The sequence below is a fragment of the Homo sapiens genome, chromosome 11 (assembly GCF_000001405.40).
Source record: "Homo sapiens chromosome 11, GRCh38.p14 Primary Assembly".
Classification (NCBI taxonomy): Eukaryota; Metazoa; Chordata; class Mammalia; order Primates; family Hominidae; genus Homo; species Homo sapiens.
Window position 1 is genome coordinate 20789689 of NC_000011.10, and position 18376 is coordinate 20808064.

Genomic DNA, 18376 nt, shown 5'->3' on the forward strand with positions numbered 1-18376 from the left:
ATGAAGAGAAGCTTTATTGAGCAATAGAACAGTTCAGTCTTCCACAGGAGTAGCTCCTTTCCTCAGCCAGGGTGTCCCAACAGGTGTTCAGCTCCTAATAGAGAGGAGACCCTGGAGTAGGAAGCTCCTCTCTGCAGGCAGGTCCTGCTGTTGTCTCTGCAGCTCTCAGCAGAGAGGAGGCCCTAGAGTGGGTGGCTTCTCTCTGCAGCGGGTTATCCTGATGTCTGCTTAAGTTTCAGCAGAGAGGAGGCCCTGGATTGGGTAGCTCCTCTCTGCAGCTGGTCCTTCTGATGTCTGCTCAGCTCTGGCTGAGCCTGGGGCTTATATGGGCCTCAGAGGGGAGGAAGTGCATGCCAGTTGGCCCATGGGCAGCCATGGATAGGCCTCGAAAAGGCACTACAAGTTCCCATTCCTGTCTGTGGCACTGGCAGCCATCAGGCCCTCCCTGGCCTGAAGGCGAAGCCTCACTGGGGAGCCAGCCACTTCCACCCAGGAACTGTCTACCTCCTGCTGACATTCATGGTGCCCAGACTGCAGGTGCCAAGGGATACCTGCAGGCAAATGCTGAGCTGACTTCAGCCTCACCTCAGCTTCCCTCCTATGCTCATTGGTGCCCAAAATCCAGAGAGGGCTAAGGTGGCAGAGGGCTGGTGTGTCAGCACTGCCCTGAGTATGTGCACACCCAGCCAGGCTGTGACAGTGCCGGAACTCGGCCCCGACTTTGCTCAAAGATTGGTGCAGGTGCTTATTTCAGACAGAAGCCAGGCAGTAGGAGCAGGCATTTCTGAGCCTACAAGTGCAGTGGGGTCCTTCCCAGGTCTCCAAGAGTGCAGGGATGCGTGGGCCCACAGCTGCAGCTGTGAAGGGAAGGGTTGGGGCTCTTGCCTGCTTGGTGAAACAGGAGGCCTGGGTCTGCAGCCACAGTTTGGGCAGCTGCAGCTGAGCCCAGCGAGGTAGGACTCCTACCTGCTCTGTGGAGTGGGAGGTCTAGATCTGCAGCCATGACTTGGGCCCTGCTCCTGCCTGCTCTACGGGGCAGGAGGCCTGGGTCTGTAGCTGCAAGTGGGCGGCTGCAGCTATGCCTGGGGAACTTCTACCCCAACTTGGAAGGGGCGGGGCTTCTGCTTTTTCAAGGCTCCCAGTGGCTCCACAAAGCCTGCAGGCCTGGCCACGCCTCCCTGCTGCACCTGGTGTGATGGTAGCGGCTGCTCCAGACAGCCTGCCGCTACTATCATTACTTCTATTTCATTGATCTATATGTTTATCCATATGGAAGTGCTGTTTGATTATTGCAGTTTTGTAGTAAGTTTGGAAATTGATGAATCTTCCAAGTTTGTTCTTCTTTTCAAGATTGTTTTGGTTATTCTATTTCCCTTGGATTTTCATATGAATTTTAGGACCAGCTTGTCAGTTTCCGCAAATAAGTCAGTTGAGATTTTGATAGAGATTGTATTGAATCTGTAGGTCGTCAGTCTGAGGAAGCATTGCCATCAAAACAATGTCAAATAATTTGATTCCTGAACATGGGGTGTCTTTCTACTTTCTCAGGTCGTCTTTCATTTCTTTCAATTTTTTTTGTTTGTTTTCAAAATCTAAGATTTTCGTGGCTTTTGTTAATTTATTCCTAGGTGTATTTTTTTATGCTATCATACATGGAATAATTTTCTTAATTTCAATTTTTGGTTGCTCATTGCTACTGTATAGAAAGGAAATTAATTTTTGCCTATTACTTTGCATCCTGCAACCTTGGTAAGCTTATTGATTAGTTCTAATAGTTTCTAGTGAATTCCTTAGAATTTTTCCATATAAGATTATGTCATCTCCAAATGGAGATTGTTTTATGTCTTCCTGTCCTACCTGCTGCCTGTTAGTTCATTTTTATACCAAATTGCCCTGGCCAGAACTTCCAGTACAATGTTGAATAGAAATGGTGAGCAGATATCTTTGTATTGTTTCTGATTTTAAAGGGAAAGCTTTCAGTTTTCACCTTGAAGTATGTCAGCTGTGTGGATTTTCACAGGTACTCTTCACCAGTCTGGAGGTTTTTTTTTTTTTTTTTCTATTTGTAGGTGTTCTTTATCATATTGGAGAAGTCTCTTTCTATTCCTAGTTTGGTTAGTGTTTCTGTTATGAAGGGTGTTGAATTTCTTCACATGCTATTTCTATATCTACTGAGATGATAACATAGTTTTAATCTTTTATTCTGTTGATGTAGTGTATTATACTAACTGATTTTCAGAAAGCTATACCAAACTTGCATTCCTGGGATAAATTCCACTTGGCTATGTTCCATAATCCTTTTTCTATTTTATGGATTCGATTTGATAGTATATTGTTGAGGACTTTTGTATCTATATCCATAAGTGAGGTATTGGTCTGCAGCTTGCTTTCTTTCCATGTTTTAATATGATTTTGATATCTTTCTTTTGAGTTTTAGCTGATTTTTAAGCTATATTGAATAGCTTTTTTAAGCTAACATTTGCTGATTGCATACCACGTGCCAAACATTAATTTTTTTTAGATGATCCCCTTTGACTTGTTAGGTATATAATTGTGTAAGCTGAAAATATTGAAAATTTTTCCTTTCTTCAATTTCAATATTTATATTAGCGATTTCTTTTTCTTGTTTTATGATATGGTCTGGAATCTCCATAATAGTGGTAAATAATATATGAACAAATCAAAGGTGTTCATTAAAGTCAGGAAGAGGGCAACAGATAATCCTTTTTTCTTTCCAACTTTAATAAGGTCCTCTGTTTAATAAACTGTCTAGTAGTACTTTCTAATATCTATCACTGTTTCTATCTGTCTTTATCTATCTAGTCATCATGTAAAGGAAATCTAATTTTATTCCTATTTTACTGAAAGATTAAAAAAGAATAGCTGTTATATTTTATTAAATATCTTTTCAGTGTGCATTTTGAGATACTTTTGTGTCTGCCCCCTTTTATCTATTAACATAAGTAATTACATTAATAGAATCTATAATGTTGAGCTATTTCTGAAATCCTTGAATAAACTTACATTAACTAATGCTTTAGTTAGGATCTTTGTATCATTAAATAATGATAGCAATAGCAATATTAATAAAAGCAGTAGTAGTAACTACATTAGTTTAAGCACTGAAGAATTATAGGCATTGTTTTAAATACTTTAAACTTATTAAACATTTAAATGTTTTAATACATTAATAAGTGAGATGCCATAGATTTTTCTGTGTATTTGAGTTAATTCAAGGCTTTTTGAATTTTTTATGTGCTAGACTATTTAAAAAATATACATTGTATCTTTTCTACAAGTGTTTCTGATAGAATGAGCCTGAAAATAGATGCAAATGTAATTAGATGTAAATAATTACATGTAAACATAATTAGAAAAGGACAGAAAATATTTTGTATAGAAAATATTTGGGCTGAAAAGTACAAAAAATATTTAGGCTGATAATTTGGTCTTGGGGAAGCTGGAAAATATTTTATTATTGAAATGTTCATTTTCCACTTCTTTTGTGGTATGGTTTCTATCTAATTACTTTTGAGCTCTTCTTGGGATCAATTTATGTTTTTAAGAATCCTATATTTCATTGATATTGGGATTTTTTTGGCAAGTAGTTGGACGTTATAGTCTCTTTTACTTAATAAAATTTTTATATTTGTGATTTTTATCTCATTTTATTTCTAATGTGTGATATGTGTGTTTTCTTCTTTTCTTGGCCAGGCTCATCATGGGATCATGTAATTTATTGATCTTTTAAATGAAACAGTTCTTAGTTTTATTGATCAAGTGGACTGTTTTTCATTTCAAATTCATTGATTCCTACTTCTTACCTTATGTTGGATTATCTTGTTGGTATTTTTACTAGCTTCTTCCATGTTTAGTTCATTTGTCTTCAGTATTTTCTGTTTACTGGTAAAACCACTGATGGTTTTATGTTTCCTTGTGAATATTGCTTTGAATACAGCCCACTGATATTGCTATATAGTGTTTTTATTTTCTGTACTTTTCTATAGCTCTTAATTTCATTTTGGCTTCCTCTTTAACCCTGGTTAAAGCAGTGTTTAAATATTCCAAAGTGATTAAATTAAAAATGCTTAATGGGTGATTTCTGGTTTTATTGTTAATTGAGGGCATAAAATATGTGCGTCAGATTTTTAGATTTTTGAGTTGCAGAATTTTTTTTCCTGGTGATCTTTCACATGCTCAATATTTTTGATACATTTAAAAATAATGGATTGCTTTTGAAAATGTATAGATAAATACAGACATATGACTTTATATGTAGCAACTTTGAGTTGTGTTATTTAACTTCTATGTGTATTGATTAACTGATTGATTGCTCAATCCATGACAGTCTGAGAGAAGTAGGTTAATGGCTCCTATTGTAATTATGTAAGCATCGTAGGTATTGTAATTATCATTTTTTCATAGTCTCCTTGGATAGGTTTAAGGGTCAGGCTGAAAATGTCATGTATAATCTGTATCCCATTTCATTGAACAGTACTGGGAAATTCAGCCTAGCATTGTGCCAAGGATGAGAGAACATGGATATTGGAAACATTAGGCAGTCTCTGTCTTGATTGGTTGAGGTGTTACCTATTGAGTCTGAACCCAAATACGTGGAAATAGCATAGGTAACAGACTGCCTCAAATAGGGGTTTCTCCAGGTAATAATCTCAAGCACATAGTATGCACTCAATAAACACATTTTAAATGAAAAAAGGATTTGTCTTCTTCATCTCCAGTTAGAGCTGCTCAGAATTTTCATGACTAGTTTCAAAGGTTCACATGGAATACATTGTACCAGACAAAGGTATTGCCCTGGGTGTGCTACACATGGGAGGCTGTGCAGGATAGTGAAGGGGGCAAAGGTTTTGGCATCTGGAGGCTGAATTGATAATACCTGGTGATTTTTCTGAGGATTAGTATTTGTAAAATACCTAGCATAGTGCTTGGCATACAAAAGAAACTCAATAAAAAAGCCATAATGATGATGATGCTGATGATACTGATAATGACGATGTTATCTAGATGGAAATTTGATGCTGAGGGGAGACAGGGTGCTGAGGAGTGGCCAGATGAGAAAATAGTCATCCCACACACCACCCCCAGTTCGGTGATTAAAGGAAAATAATGACTATCACCCAAACCTGGTAATGTTCGATTTTCAGTTAAAAGTCATCTTTGCTGATGAAGCACAATGAGGGAACAGCATTCTGGATCTGATCACCTTCCCTAATCATCATGAGCACCACAGGAAGTAATCATGCCCCTGCCTTTTCCAAAGCTGTCAACCAGAGAAACTTCATTTACTGTTTTGGAAATCACTGTTTCCAATCTCTGCTAGGCTTCGGGCTACTCTCAGGCACAGCCATTATTGAATTAGAAGACTTCATTCAGTGGCTGAGTTCCCTTCTGGCCAAAGGCAGACATCTCTCTCACCTGGTGGGAACCCAGTAGCCAGAGTTAGAACTCTTGGGAGTTTGTGTTTCTTTAAACGAGGAGTGAACTTCTTGGCAAAGCAGTATCTGGAAACTCCCTAGGTAACTGAGCCAATTGAGTTCCCATGGATATCTTAAGTGGGCAGATAAAACGAAACAGAAAACTGAAATATAAAGACTATTAAAAATGTACCTGGAGGTAGTAATTGAAATAGGCTCTTTTATGTAATGGAATGGGTACTCTGTTATTAATTCCAATGTATATTTCTAATGTGATAAAATTATTTTTTACAGTAGCAATAGAGTGCATTAGCAGAGCAACAAAGATGAGTCTGTCTTGCTGAACTATCTTAATGACATTGCAGATTTAATGTTTATTTTTTCGGATTCAAATGTGTTAATATAGAGCTTTGTTAAAATGGAAAGCTTAATTAATGCAGATTAAATCTAATTGAACACTCTGCCAGTATATGTAACTCTATAAGATATAATGGTAAATCTTCTGTTTTTTAATTTTATTTCTAAATGATAGATAAAATTAAGTTGAAGCACAATTAGATGGGAAGTTGAAAGCTAGGGTTCTAAGAAAAAGCTTCCCATGGAATCCTTTTCTGAGGAGATGAAGAAGACATTTTTGGCTTCCTAAGAAGGCATCTCCTTTTTTTTTTAAACAAAATTTTTGTTTTTCAAAAGATACTCTTCAGTTTTCTGAGCTCTCATGGTGGAAATAACTTTCTACTGTGATGCCAAGTAGACTTGGGTTCATTTCCTGGATCTATCAATTGCTAGATGTTTGAGCGTTTGCAGTTATCTTTAATTTACCTCAGACTCAGGGTTCTTCTAGGTAAAGTGAAGGTATCCATTGATTACCACATCATAGAGTTATTGGAAGGATTAAACAAGAGCAGTTCCTCATACATCTCGTATATCAAGGCTCTCAGTAAATGTCATTTTTCTTCCTGTCCTCATGGCTGCTTTAGATATTTCCTACTTCTTCCTAAAATTCTTCATAAGGGAAGAAGGTAGATGTTGGGACCGTCCCACCATTTGAAATAGTAATTAGCTTTTCACATCAAGATGTTGTTATAGATAATCTAAAACAATGAATTGCCCAAATGGAATGCATTCTGTAATTCCTAAAAAAGCATGTTTACCTTCTTAATTACAGATGACTTAAGCTCATATTTAAATTATTTTGAACTTTTATAAAATTGATTGAAGAATATCAGAATGTAGGGTAGGAGGAAAGGGGAGAAAATTCCAGAAGTATGTTACATGGTTTGTTGAAGCCATGTAACTTTCTCCTTGGGTAATTCTTTCCTCAATGAGATACAACATTGGCTTATATTATTATAAAGTAGATATTTTCAATTATTAAATTACTTTCATTTGGGAATGAAGGGAGCAAATTGGAGACTTGCCCTAAAAAATCTATCCTGCTTTTGAAGTATGCAAGCAAGTCTCCACACTTCAAACAAATATTGGGTGTCTATGATTAGAGAGTCTTTAGAGTTAGGACTATGATCCGAGTAGACCGTAAGCTGTCTTGTCAGCATCATTCTGGAGATAACAATGCAAAACTATCAAATACTGTGTGGTCATAGATGCTGGGCTACAATTGTGAGACATACAAGAGTGGAGACAGTCAAAGAAACACTGCCAAGTATTGTTAGTGCCCTGATAGGAGGAATACAGGGAGCAAGGCACCCTACCTCGACCAAAAGGAGTCAGAAATTCTTTCCACCAAGAGTTATGCTTAATATGTTAAATAGAAGGATAAGCAGATATCAGCCAAGATGAATGGAAGAGGGTTCTGAATGCAGCATGAGCAAAGAGGTGAGAGATGAGGGATGACAGTGCATTAAAAGAACTGAAGAAAAATTTATTATTGGAGAGTGGAGAAAGCATAGGTAAGGAAGAGGCAAGGTGTGTCAAGAAATAAACCTGGGGAGGCAGGCAAGAGGCCAGATTGTGAATAGGTTTGTAAGCAATGCGTAATGGTTTAGCCTTTAGGCCCAGGGCATTGGGAGCCATGGAAAGGATATAAGCACAGGCTTGGTGGCATGATTAGGGTGGTACTTTAGAAAGACCACACTGGCTGCTTAGTGGAGAATGGCATGGAGGGGGCAAAATTGGAGACATAAAGACAGGAGGTTGCTGGCCGGGCGCGGTGGCTCGCGCCTGTAATCCCAGCACTTTGGGAGGCTGAGGCGGGTAGATCACGAAGTCAGGAGATCGAGACCATCCTGGCTAACACGGTGAAATCCAGTCTCTACTAAAAATACAAAAAAAATTAGGTGGGCGTGGTGGCGGGCGCCTGTAGTCCCAGCTACTTCGGAGGCTGAGGCAGGAGAATGGCGTGAACCTGGGAGGTGGAGCTTGCAGTGAGCCGAGATCGCGGCACTGCACTCCAGCCTGGGCGACAGAGCGAGACTCCATCTCAAAAAAAAAAAAAAAAAAAAAAGACAGGAGGTTGCTGCAGTATTCTAGAATCGAGATCCTAGATAAGAGGACAGAATCCTGCACTATTTCAGATAATGGTGGTGCCAATTGAGGGAAGTTAATTCTGGAGTAGACTGGATGTAGTTCTATATTAGGGGATAGAGAAGGAGGAGTCAAGGGTGATGCCCAGGGTTCTGGCTTGTGCTACTGGAAGTTAGTGTGCCCTGGGCAGATAGAGTGGGGTGGTGAATAGCTTTTTTCTTTAATCATTGTGCTGTGTGTGTCATATGGCCAATTCTTTGCATTTACTTTGTCCAAGTTTTCAGTTGAATAAATTACCACAAATACAGAAAAGTAGAAAGGAGTAATAATAGATGGGATGTATTTTCCAGTAAATGGTTAAAAGCTGAAAATGTGGGCCATCTAGAGATGCTGCCAAATGCTAGGAGACAAGACATCTGGATTCTGAGATTCCATCATTTTTATCTTTATGCCTAGCACAGTGTAGACATAGCTTCAAGGAAACGTTTAAAGGATGTATACTTGAGGATGGACAGTTAGGCTATGGTGTGCATTGGGAAGTAGCAATTTTCAGGCAGAAATGAAAATGAGTGGAAGGATCTGATGTCCAGAAAATGAGGATGTTTTCTGCAACACACTAATTAAGTAAAATTTAAATCTTCGTCAGAAGAAATGAAGCTGTTCAGATGACTTTTGACCTTAATTGAAGCCAAGAAGTATCATAGCAATAGAATATAATACTTTGGGCAAATTGCTCTTGCTTGTATATGTGCATGTTAGATTTTGGATTGCCTAGTGTTTGAGAAATGAAAAAACAGCTAATGTAGCCATTAACCTTTACTTTTTTAGTATAAATTCACAATTTCATTAATATTTTTGCATAAAATCATTTAAGCTCAATGGAATTCTCCTAGAGAATTTAAAAAAACTCTTCTTTGACATCCTTTGGAATTAGTTGTGAAACACTTGCATTTCTGGGTAACATGCATTCGTTCATTTGGTTCTGTGGTGAGAAATGTGGACAGAATGTTGTTGCTGATGAAAGATAGATTTAACTCCTGACTTGCTGATTTCTGGGTGAAAGGCACCTCAGGCTGTCAGAACATTGGTGAGGGTGGTGCAATGACAGTGATTCTGGGCCAGGAGTCAGAAGACCTGGACTCAAGGCTCTGCTTTGTCAATGAATATCCATGAGACCAGACAGGTCCTCCCTGGACCTCAGTTTACTTCTCTGTCAAATTATAGTTCATTAATTATTCATCAGATACTAATCTGCTTTGGACACTTATCTGTGGGCTAGGAACATTGGTGGATTCTTTAGCAGCGAAGGTGTGTAAGGGGCCTGTCCTCAGGGAGCTTTTATTCTAGTGGGGTGAGTCAGATGATAAATACGGACAAAATTAAACCTAATGATAAACGTCATGGAAGAAAATAAAACAGAGGGATGAGGGATAGGTCAGTAGAGAAGAGAAGCTGGAGAGGGCTTTATGAAGATAGGACGTTTGTCCTCAATCTAAAAAAGAGGCAGCTATGAAAAAATCAGAAAGATGAGTGTCCCAGATAGCTGAGACAGTAAGTACAAAGACTCTGTGAAGGATCCAGTTTGGTATGTTTAGGAGACAGACCAAGAGCTAGTGCATTTAAAACTTTGTTAGTTGAGGGTGATGAAAGGGAGTGGTTTTAGATGAGGAGATGCTGACAGCAATAGCTTCCTTGATGATTTCACAGTGTGAGAGACCGTGTATCATGACAAAGTGTGATATTTATACAAGGCCATATTATTTCAGGACAACAGTTACTTACTAAGTGCAGGCTATGTGCAAAGGAAGTCTACCCATCCATCCATAGTGTTCCTTGGAAATCCAAATTTCATAATTTATAAAACTATAACAATTACATTTTTTAGAGCAAATGCACACACTTTTTTTCTAAAGGACATTTTAGTTCTCCTTTCCCCCTTCTTATTGATTGACTTGATTATAAATAATAATAATACTTTGGTAGGAGTGAATTGGTAGTTCACCATTTGAAGCATTATCAGTTCATCTGGAGACAGCCAGAAGTATGTATGTGTGTATGTATGTATGTATGTATGTATTATTACTATTATTTTTAGATTCAGGGAGTACATGCACAGAGTTGTTACACTGTTATACTGCATGATGCTGAGGGATATGGAGATATGAATGACTTTGGGATACAGATGGTCCCATCACCCATGTGGTGAGCATACTATCCAATAGGTAGTTTTTTTAGCCCATATCCCCCTCTCTCCTTCCTCCTTCTAGTAGTCCCCAGTGTCTGTTTTGCTCACCTTTATGTCTATGTGTATTCAATGTTTTGTTCCCACTTATAAGTAAGAACATGCAATATTTGGTTTTCTGTTCTTGTGTTAATTCACTTAGGATCATGGCCCCCAGCTGTATTCATGGTGCTGCCAAGGACATGATTTTGTTCTTTTCAATGGCTGCGTAGTATCCCATGGTGTATACGTACTAGATTTTCTTTATCCAATCCACCATTGATGGGCACCTAGGTTGATTCCATGTCTTTGCTATTGTGAATGGCACTGTGATGAACATACTAGTGTATGTGTCCTTTCGATAGAATGAATTCTTTTCCTTTGAATGCTAGTGGGATTGCTGGTTCAAATGGTAGTTCTAAGTTCTTTGAGAAATCTCCAAAATGCTTTCCAAAGTGATTAAACTAATTTACATTCCCACTGACAGCATATAGACATGTCCTTTTCTCCACAGTCTCACCAGCATCTGTTATTTTTGACATTTAAAAAATAATAGGCATTCTGAAGGGTATGAGATGGTATTTCATTGTGGTTTTGATTTTTCACTTCTCTGATTATTAGTGATGTTGACTTTTAATATATATTTGTTGGCTGCTTGTATGTCTTCTTTTGGGATTGTCTATTCCTGTCTTTTGTCCATTTTTAAATTGGATTATTTGTTTTTTGCTTGTTGATGTATTTAAGTTCCTTGTAGATTCTGGATATTAGACCTCTGTTAGATGCAGAGTTTGTGAATATTTTCTCCTGTTTTGTAGGCTGTCTTGCCAATAATAGCCTCTCCTGAGAGGTGGAGAGCCTCATCTCTAAGATGGGTGCAGCACAAAAGTGGGGGAAGTAGGTGGTGTGTGGGAATGAGAAACGATGAGGATGTGCCCGTGGCTGGAAAATGCAGCCTGCAGGGCAGGAACTGCAAAGAGATGGGGCTGATGATATTGAGAGTGATAGGCATCCTGTCTGGATTTGTTAATAAGCAGTGACTAAATGTTGAAACTGCAGGCCATAGTTGGCTTGTAGAAGGGCTTTCCTTGGTTGTGATGGCTTCCACAGTATCCTTCCACAATTAAAAAAAACAAACAAACCATGAGTTAGTTTCCAACATTTGAAAATTGAAGTGATTTGGTCTAAAAAATCCAGCTTTCCACCTTCTCATCAAAAATAGGTATGTATTTTTCAGATTGCCACAGTCCCTAGTTCTCTCAGTTGTCTTCCCATCACCATAAGGTCATGTGTCAATTGCTGCTGTGTGGTTTCCTTTTTAATGAATGTAAAGTTAGGAGAAAAGTGAAATTCTTAAACTCATTTCTTTATTCAAAGAAGAAAAATAAAGGGACTTAAAAGGTAGCTTGTTTTTTAAAAAATACGTTAGACTTCTAGCCTACTTCTGTCATGTAAGATGCTGCCTGGCCCCTGTAGCCACTGAAGATTTTGACTCCCTCTCAAGGTTATACAGATACAAAATGGCAGAGCCAGAATGCAAAGCCCCATCTGAAGATTTTGCCCTTTCAGACCTTTTGCCCATTTTTAAATCAAATTATTAGATTTTTTCCCCATAGAGTTGTTTGAGCTCCTTACATATTCTGGTTATTCATCCTTTGTCAGATGGGTAGTTTGCAAATATTTTCTCCCTTTATGTGGGTTGTCTCTTCACTTTGTTGATTGTTTCCCTTTTCCGTAAAGAGGTTTTTTAACTTTATGTAATCCCATTTATCCGTTTTTACTTTGGTTGCCTATGCTTGTAGGGTAGTACTCAAGAAATATTTGCTCAGTCTAATGTCCCTAGAGAGTTTCCCCAATGTTTTCTTTTAGTAGTTTAATAGTTTGAGGTTTTAGGCTTAAGTCTTTAATGCATTTTGATTTGATTATTGTATATGGCAAGAGATAGGGGTCTAGTTTCATTCTTCTGCATCTGCTGGTCCAGTTTTCCCAGCATCGTTTATTGAAGAGACTGTCCTTTCTTTCCCAAATGCATGTTCCTGGCACCTTCATAGAAAATGAGTTTCCTGTAGATGTATGAATTTGTTCTTGTGTTCTCTATTCTGTTCCATTGGTCTATGTGTCTGTTTTTATGCCAGTGCCATGCCATTTGGGTTACTATAGCTCTGTAGTATAATTTGAAGTCAGGTAATGTGATTCCTCCAGTTTTCTTTTTGCTCAGGATAGCTTTGGCTATTCTGGGTCTTTTGTAATTCCATATAAAGTTTAGGATTTTTTTTTCTATTTCTGTGAAGAGGGTCATTGGTATTTTTTATAGGAGTTACTACATTGAATTTGTAGATTGCTTTGGGTAGTGTGGACATTTTAACAATATTAATTCTTCCAATCCATGAATGTGGAATGTTTTTCCATTTGTGTGTGTTTGTCCTCTTCACATTCTTTTATCAATGTTTTCAAGTTTTCTGTATAGAGATCTTTCACTTTTTTGGTTAATTCCTAAGTATTTTCTTTTTGTATCTGATGTAAATGAAATTACTTTCTTGATTTCTTTTTCAGATCGTTCATTGTTGGTGTACAGAAATGCTGTTTTTTTTTTTGTATCCTACAAGTTTACTGAATTTGTTTATCAGTTCTAATCTTTTTGTGGATCCTTTAGGTTTTTCCAAATATAAGATTATATCATCTGTAAACAAGGATAATTTGACTTAATCCTTTCCAAATTGTATATCGTTTGTTTCTTTCTCTTGTCTAATTGCTGTAGCTAGGACTTACAGTACTATGTTGAATAACAGTGGTGAAGGTGAACATCCTTCTCATGTTCCAGATACTGGAGCAAAAGCTTTCAGTTTTTTCCCATTCAGTACTATGATAGCTATGGGTCTTTCATACATGGCTTTTATTGTGTTGAGATAAATGTTCCTTCTATCCCTAGTTATTTGAGGGTTTTTATCATGAAGGGATGTTGAATTTGATCAAATTATTTTCAGCATCAAGTGAAGTGATTGTATAATTTTTTCCTTCATTCTGTTGATATGATGTATCACATTGGTTGATTTATGTATGCTGAACCATCTGTGCATACTTGGGATAAATTTCATTTGGTCATGATGAATGATCTTTTTAATGTATTGCTGAATTTAGTTTGCTAGTATTTTGTTGAGGATTTTTTGCAACAATGTTCATCAGTGATATTGGCCTGTAATTTTCTTTATTTTTTTACATGTCTTTGGTTTTGGTATTAGGGTAATGCTGCCCTGATATAATGAGTTTGGAAAAATTCCCTCCTCTATTTTTCAGGATAGTTTGAGTAGGATTGGTATTAGTTTTTTTTAAAATGTTTGGCAAAATTCAGCAGTGAAGCCATTGGATCCTGGACTTTTCTCTGCTGGGAGATTTTTCATTACATCTTGTATCTCATTACATATCATTGGTCTGTTCATATTTTGGGTTTCTTCATGGTTCAATCTTGGGAGGTTGTATCTGTCTAGGAATTTATCCATTTCTTCTAGGTGTTCAAATTTATTGGCATATAGCAGCCTCTAATGATCCTTTGAATTTCTGTAGTATCAGTTGTAATGTCTCCTATTTCGTCTCTGATTTTATTTGTTATCTCTTTTTTCTCAATTAATCTGGCTAAAGATTTGTCAGTTTTGTTTATCCTTTCAAAAACGAACTTCTTCTTTCATTGATCTTTTGTATTGTTTCTTCGTTTCAATTTCATTGGTTTCTGCTCTGACCTTTATTATTTCTTTACATCTACTAACTTTGAGTTTGGTTTGGTCTTGCTTTTCTAGTTCTTTAAGATGCATCATTAAGTTGTTTATTTGAAATTTTTCTATTTTTTTCTTTTGATGTTGGTTTTGATGGTTAATACCGAGTGTCAACTTGATTGGATTGAAAGATTCAAAGTATTGATCCTGGGTGTGTCTATGAGGGTGTTGCCAAAGGAGATTAACATTAGAGTCAGTGGGGTGGCAAAGGCAGACCCACCCTTAATCTGGGTGGGCACAGTCTAATCAGCTGCCAGCATGGCTAGAATATGAGCAGGCAGAAAAATGTGAAAAGAGAGACTGGCCTAGCCTCCCAGCCTACATCTTTCTCTTGTGCTGGATGCTTCCTGCCCTCGAACATCGGACTCCCAGTTTCTTCAGCTTTGGAACTCGGACTGACTCTCCTTGCTCCTTAGCCTGCAGACAGCCTATTGTGATACCTGATGATTGTGTGAGTTAATATTTAATAAACATATATATATATATTCCATTAGTTCTGCCCCTCTAGAGAACCCTTACTAATACATTGGTGCTTATAGCTATAAACTTCCTTTTTGCTACTGCTTTTGCTGTATCATGTAGGTTTTGGTATGCTGTGTGTCCATTATCATTTGTTTCAAAAATTTTTTTCAATTTTATTCTTAATTGTTTATCCATTTTTGAGATGGAGTCTTGCTCTGTCACCCAGGCTGGAGTGCAGTGGTGCGATTTCAGCTCACTGCAACCTCTGCCTCCTGAGTTCAAGCAAGTCTCCTGCCTTGGCCTCTCAAGTAGCTGAGACTACAGGCACGTGCCACCACATCTGGCTAATTTTTGTATTTTTAATAGAGATGGGGTTTCGCCATGTTGGCCAGGCTGGTCTTGAACTCCTGACATCAAGTGATGCACCTGCCTCAGCCTCCCAAAGTGCTGGGAATACAGGCAATTTTATTCTTAATCTGTTGATCCATTGGTCATTTAGGAGCCTATTGTTTAATTTCCATGTGTTTGTATAGTTTCCATAATTCCTCTTGTTACTGATTTCTAATTTTTTTCCATCTTGGGAAGAGAAGATACTTCATGTTATTTCAGCTTTTTTGAATGTTTTAAGACTTGTTTTGTTGTCTGTTATATAGTCTACCCTTAAGAATTATCCATGTGCTGAGGAGAAGCATATGTATTCTGCAGCCTTTGGATGAAATGTTCTGTAAAAATCTATTAGGTCTATTTGGTCTATAGAGCAGACTAAGTCCAATGTTTTCTTTGTTGATTTCTATCTGAATGATCTGTCTGAAAGTACGGTGTTCAAGTCTTCAATTATTATTTTATTGAGATCTCTCTTTGTTTTTAGGTCTAATAATATTTGCTTTACACATCTGGGTGTTCCAGTGTTGGGTGCATGTATATTTACAATTGTTATATTCTCTTGCTTAATCTTTATCATTATATAATAAACTTCTTTGTCTTTTTTATAGTTTTTGCCTTAAAATGTATTTTATCTGATATAACTATAGCTGCTCCTGTTCTTTTCTGGTTTCCATTGGCATGGAATATCTTTTTCCATTCCTTTATTTTCAGTCTATGTGTGTCTTTATAGGTGAAGTGTGTTTCTTGTAGGCAACAGATTGTTGGGTCTTGGTTTTTGTTTGCTTCTGTTTTTGTTTTTACAACTCAGCCAGACACTTCATGTCTTTTGAATAAAGAGTTTAGTCCATTCACATTCAATGTTAATGATAAATAAGCATCATTAACTGTGTTCCTGCCATTTGTTATTTATTTTCTAGTTGTTTTGTGCTATTCTCTTTCATCTTTCTTTTTTTCCTGTCTTCCTTTTAGTGAAGGTGGTTTTCTCTGGTGGTATGTTTTAATTTCTTGCTTTTAATTTTTTGTGTGTATCTGCTGTGTTTTTAGATTTGCAAATAATGTCTTATAACCCATTATTTTATTTTAATTATTATTATTTTTTGAGATGGAGTCTCGCTCTATTACCCAGGCTGGGGTGCAGTGGTGAGATCTTGGCTCGCTGCAGGCTCCGCCTCCCAGGTTCATGCCTCCCGAGCAGCTGGGACTACAGGTGCCCACCACCATGCCCAGCTAATTTTTTGTATTTTTAGTAGAGATGGCATTTCACCGTGTTAGCCAGGATGGTCTTGATCTCCTGACCTCGTGATCCACCTGCCTTGGCCTCCCAAAGTGCTGGGATTACAGGCGTGAGCCACCGTGCCTGGCCAACGCATTATTTTAAGCTGATCACAACTTAACACCGAGTACATAAACAAACAAGCAAATGAAAAGTAATAAAAACTGCACTTTAACTTCATCCTCTCACTTTTTATCTTGCTTTGTTTTATTTATATCTTATTGTACTGTTTCTGTTTTGAAAAGTTGTTATAGTTATTAGTTTTGCTTGGTTCATGTTTTTGTTTTTCTACTTAAATTATAAGTAGTTTACTGACCACAATTCCAATATTATAATATCCTGTGTTTTTTTGTGTACTTACTAATACCAGAGAGTTTTGTACCTTCAGTGATTACTTACTGCTTATTAATGTCCTTTTTTTTTTTTTTTATCAGATTGAAGAACTCCCTTTAGCATTTCTTATAGGACAGTTCTGGTGCTTATGAAGTCCCTCAGTGTTTATCTGGGAAAGCCATTATTTCTCCTTCATGTGTGAAGCATTTGTGTGTGTGTGTGTGTGTGTGTGTGTGTGTGTTTGTGTTTGTGTTTGCCAGATATACTATTCCAGAATAAAAGATTTTTTCCTTCAACACTTTAAATATGTCATACTTCTGTCTCGTGGCCAGTAAGGTTTCCACTGAAAAGTCTGCTGCCAGATGTATTGGAGCTCCATTGTATGTTTGTTTCTTTTCTCTTGTTGCCTTTAGGATCCTTTCTTTATCCTTGACCTTTGGGGGTTTGATTACTAAATGCCTTGAGGTTGTCTTCTTTCAGTTAAATTTGCTTGGTGTTCTGTAACCTTCTTGTACTTAAATATTGACAACTTCCTCTAGATTTGGGAAGCTCCTTGTTATTATCCCTTTGAGTAAACTTTCTCCCCCTACCTTTCTCTTTACCTCCCCTTTAAGGCCAATAACTCATAGATTTGCCCTTTCGAAGCTATTTTCTAGATCTTGTAGGTGTGCTTCATAGTGTTTTATTTATTTATTTATTTATTTGTCTCCTCTGGCTCTGTCTTTTCAAATACCCTGTCTTCAAGTTCACTAATTGTTTCTTCTCCTTGATCAATTCTGCTATTAAAATACTTTGATGCATTCTTCAGTATGTTAATTAAATTTTTCAACTCCAGAATTTCTGTTTGATTCTTATTTCAATCTTTGTTAAATTAATCTGATAGGATTCTGAATTCCTTCTCTGCGTTATCTTCAATTTCTTTGACTTTCCTTAAAACAACTATTTCGAATTCTGTCTGCAAGGTCACATATCTCTATCACTCTGGGTTTGATCCTTGGTGCATTATTTAGTTTTTTTTTTTTTTGTTGGGGTCATGTTTTCATGGATGGTCCTGATGCTTGTGATTATTCCTCAGTTCCTGGGCATTGAAGGTATTTATTGTAGTCTTCACAGTCTGGGCTTGATTGTACCTATGCTTTTGTGAAGGCTTTCCAGGTATTTGAAGGGACTTGGGTGTTGTGATCTATGTTTTTGTTCACTGTAGCTGAATCTGCATTAGGAGGCACCCTAAACACAGTAATGCTTTAGTTCTTGCAGACTCATAGAGGTACCACCTTGGTGGTTTTGGATGAGATCTGGAGAATTCTCTGGATTGCCAGGCTGAGACTCTTGTTCTCTTCCCTTATTTTCTCCCCCAAAAAACAGAGTCTCTCTCTCTCTGTTCTGAGGCTGTGGGTGGGGAGACACAGCACCCTGTGGTCACCACCACTGGGACTATGTTGAGTCAGAATGAAGCCAGCACAACACTGGGTCTTGCCCAAGGCCTACTATAACCGCTACCTGTCTGCTGCCTATGTTTGCTGAAGGCCCTAGGGCTCTGCATTCAGCAGGTGGTGCAGCCAGCCAGGTTTGTGTTCTTCCCTTCTGTGCAGCAAGTTCCCCTGGGCCCTGGGTGGGTCCAGAGATTCCATCTGGGAGCCAGGGCCTGGAGTCAGAAACCTTAGAAATCTACCTAGTGCATTATCTACCTGTGACTGAGCTGGCACCCATAATGTAAGACAAAGAATCGTCCCAGTTTTCCTTCCCCTTTTCCCAGGTGGAGGAATCTTTTCCTCTGTCCACCACCACCACAGGCCCATGGAAGTAGTGCCAGGCTACCACTGATGTTCCCTTAAGGCCCAAAGTCTCTTCAGTCAGCTTGTGGTAAATGCTGCTTGGCCTGGGACTCATCCTTCAGGGCAATGGGCTTCTCTCTGGCCCAGCTTAGTTCCAGAAATGCCATCTAAGAGCCACAGCCTGGAATTGGGGACCCCAATAGCCTGCTTGGTGCTCTATCCCACTGTGGCCAAGCTGGTACCTA

At 38.1% G+C, this 18376-nt stretch overlaps 1 protein-coding gene across 4 annotated transcripts in view; it reads left to right on the forward strand.

Annotated features, from left to right (window-relative positions):
• NELL1 (neural EGFL like 1) overlaps positions 1-18376 on the forward strand; it is a 906136-nt gene that overhangs the window by 120138 nt on the left and 767622 nt on the right. The gene's annotated exons all lie outside the window — the stretch shown is intronic.